This window comes from Homo sapiens, chromosome 18 (genome assembly GCF_000001405.40).
Source record: "Homo sapiens chromosome 18, GRCh38.p14 Primary Assembly".
Classification (NCBI taxonomy): domain Eukaryota; kingdom Metazoa; phylum Chordata; class Mammalia; order Primates; family Hominidae; genus Homo; species Homo sapiens.
The window spans coordinates 60,370,846-60,373,226 of record NC_000018.10 but is presented as its reverse complement, the minus strand read 5'-3'; the positions used below and the strand labels follow the sequence as shown (position 1 = coordinate 60,373,226).

General features: G+C 41.2%; 1 protein-coding gene across 1 annotated transcript; it reads left to right on the top strand.

Moving 5' to 3' along the window:
• On the top strand, window positions 452-2,165 carry MC4R (melanocortin 4 receptor). The gene has a single exon (NM_005912.3). It carries the CDS (start codon window positions 878-880, stop codon window positions 1,874-1,876), a length of 999 nt encoding a protein of 332 aa, NP_005903.2. The 5' UTR covers window positions 452-877; the 3' UTR covers window positions 1,877-2,165.

The window sequence follows — 2,381 nt, the reverse complement described above, 5'->3', positions numbered from 1 at the left end:
GTTCTTAATAAAAACAAAAAATTAAGAAGGTAAATAAATTCAGTATCCTAGCCAAAAAGCAGAGTATCTGTTTCAGGAACATAAGACAGTATACTTTCCATTTCATTTTACACACACACATGATGTCTTTTACATAAGAATGAACCTGGCTGCCTGAAGATAGCTTGTTTTGATATCACAGAATGGCCTCTAGGGATCAAGTTGTTTCCCTTGAAAACTTAAAAAGGGAAATTCAGTCTCTTATCCGGCTTGCTTCTCGACTTCAGACTTCAGGAGCTTCTGCATCTGAATCTGTGTCACCCTGCAATTTGTGTCTCTGAAACATAATCCTGTCTCACAGACTCCCATTGCATTGGGATTGGTCAGAAGGAAGCAGAGGAGGAGCCACCGTGAACATGTTTTTTTTCTCTCCACACATCATAAAAATCAGCAGCTGGCGCCTACAGCCCCTAACACTCAAAGCAACGCTCAGGCTGGAAACAGAAGCTTCCGAGAGGCAGCCGATGTGAGCATGTGCGCACAGATTCGTCTCCCAATGGCATGGCAGCTTCAAGGAAAATTATTTTGAACAGACTTGAATGCATAAGATTAAAGTTAAAGCAGAAGTGAGAACAAGAAAGCAAAGAGCAGACTCTTTCAACTGAGAATGAATATTTTGAAGCCCAAGATTTTAAAGTGATGATGATTAGAGTCGTACCTAAAAGAGACTAAAAACTCCATGTCAAGCTCTGGACTTGTGACATTTACTCACAGCAGGCATGGCAATTTTAGCCTCACAACTTTCAGACAGATAAAGACTTGGAGGAAATAACTGAGACGACTCCCTGACCCAGGAGGTTAAATCAATTCAGGGGGACACTGGAATTCTCCTGCCAGCATGGTGAACTCCACCCACCGTGGGATGCACACTTCTCTGCACCTCTGGAACCGCAGCAGTTACAGACTGCACAGCAATGCCAGTGAGTCCCTTGGAAAAGGCTACTCTGATGGAGGGTGCTACGAGCAACTTTTTGTCTCTCCTGAGGTGTTTGTGACTCTGGGTGTCATCAGCTTGTTGGAGAATATCTTAGTGATTGTGGCAATAGCCAAGAACAAGAATCTGCATTCACCCATGTACTTTTTCATCTGCAGCTTGGCTGTGGCTGATATGCTGGTGAGCGTTTCAAATGGATCAGAAACCATTGTCATCACCCTATTAAACAGTACAGATACGGATGCACAGAGTTTCACAGTGAATATTGATAATGTCATTGACTCGGTGATCTGTAGCTCCTTGCTTGCATCCATTTGCAGCCTGCTTTCAATTGCAGTGGACAGGTACTTTACTATCTTCTATGCTCTCCAGTACCATAACATTATGACAGTTAAGCGGGTTGGGATCATCATAAGTTGTATCTGGGCAGCTTGCACGGTTTCAGGCATTTTGTTCATCATTTACTCAGATAGTAGTGCTGTCATCATCTGCCTCATCACCATGTTCTTCACCATGCTGGCTCTCATGGCTTCTCTCTATGTCCACATGTTCCTGATGGCCAGGCTTCACATTAAGAGGATTGCTGTCCTCCCCGGCACTGGTGCCATCCGCCAAGGTGCCAATATGAAGGGAGCGATTACCTTGACCATCCTGATTGGCGTCTTTGTTGTCTGCTGGGCCCCATTCTTCCTCCACTTAATATTCTACATCTCTTGTCCTCAGAATCCATATTGTGTGTGCTTCATGTCTCACTTTAACTTGTATCTCATACTGATCATGTGTAATTCAATCATCGATCCTCTGATTTATGCACTCCGGAGTCAAGAACTGAGGAAAACCTTCAAAGAGATCATCTGTTGCTATCCCCTGGGAGGCCTTTGTGACTTGTCTAGCAGATATTAAATGGGGACAGAGCACGCAATATAGGAACATGCATAAGAGACTTTTTCACTCTTACCCTACCTGAATATTGTACTTCTGCAACAGCTTTCTCTTCCGTGTAGGGTACTGGTTGAGAATATCCATTGTGTAAATTTAAGCCTATGATTTTTAATGAGAAAAAATGCCCAGTCTCTGTATTATTTCCAATGTCATGCTACTTTTTTGGCCATAAAATATGAATCTATGTTATAGGTTGTAGGCACTGTGGATTTACAAAAAGAAAAGTCCTTATTAAAAGCTTAACAATGTCTCCTTCGTGTTATTCATAAGCATTGGACACTTTGCGTGCTTTCGTAACATAGAAATCAGAGCCTCATTAAACATATTCTAATAAATGCTTTATTATATTATATTATCCACCATTGAAATGTAGAGAGTTCATTCTAGCAGTTAAGGGAAAATATTTAAAGAATAGATGTATAATCATTTTTAAAAATATCATCACTGAAATTTCAAGTAATTTAAT

Excerpts from the sequence above, each read along its gene's own strand:
- MC4R (NM_005912.3), top strand. The coding sequence starts at position 878 with ATGGTGAACTCCACCCACCGTGGGATGCACACTTCTCTGCACCTCTGG.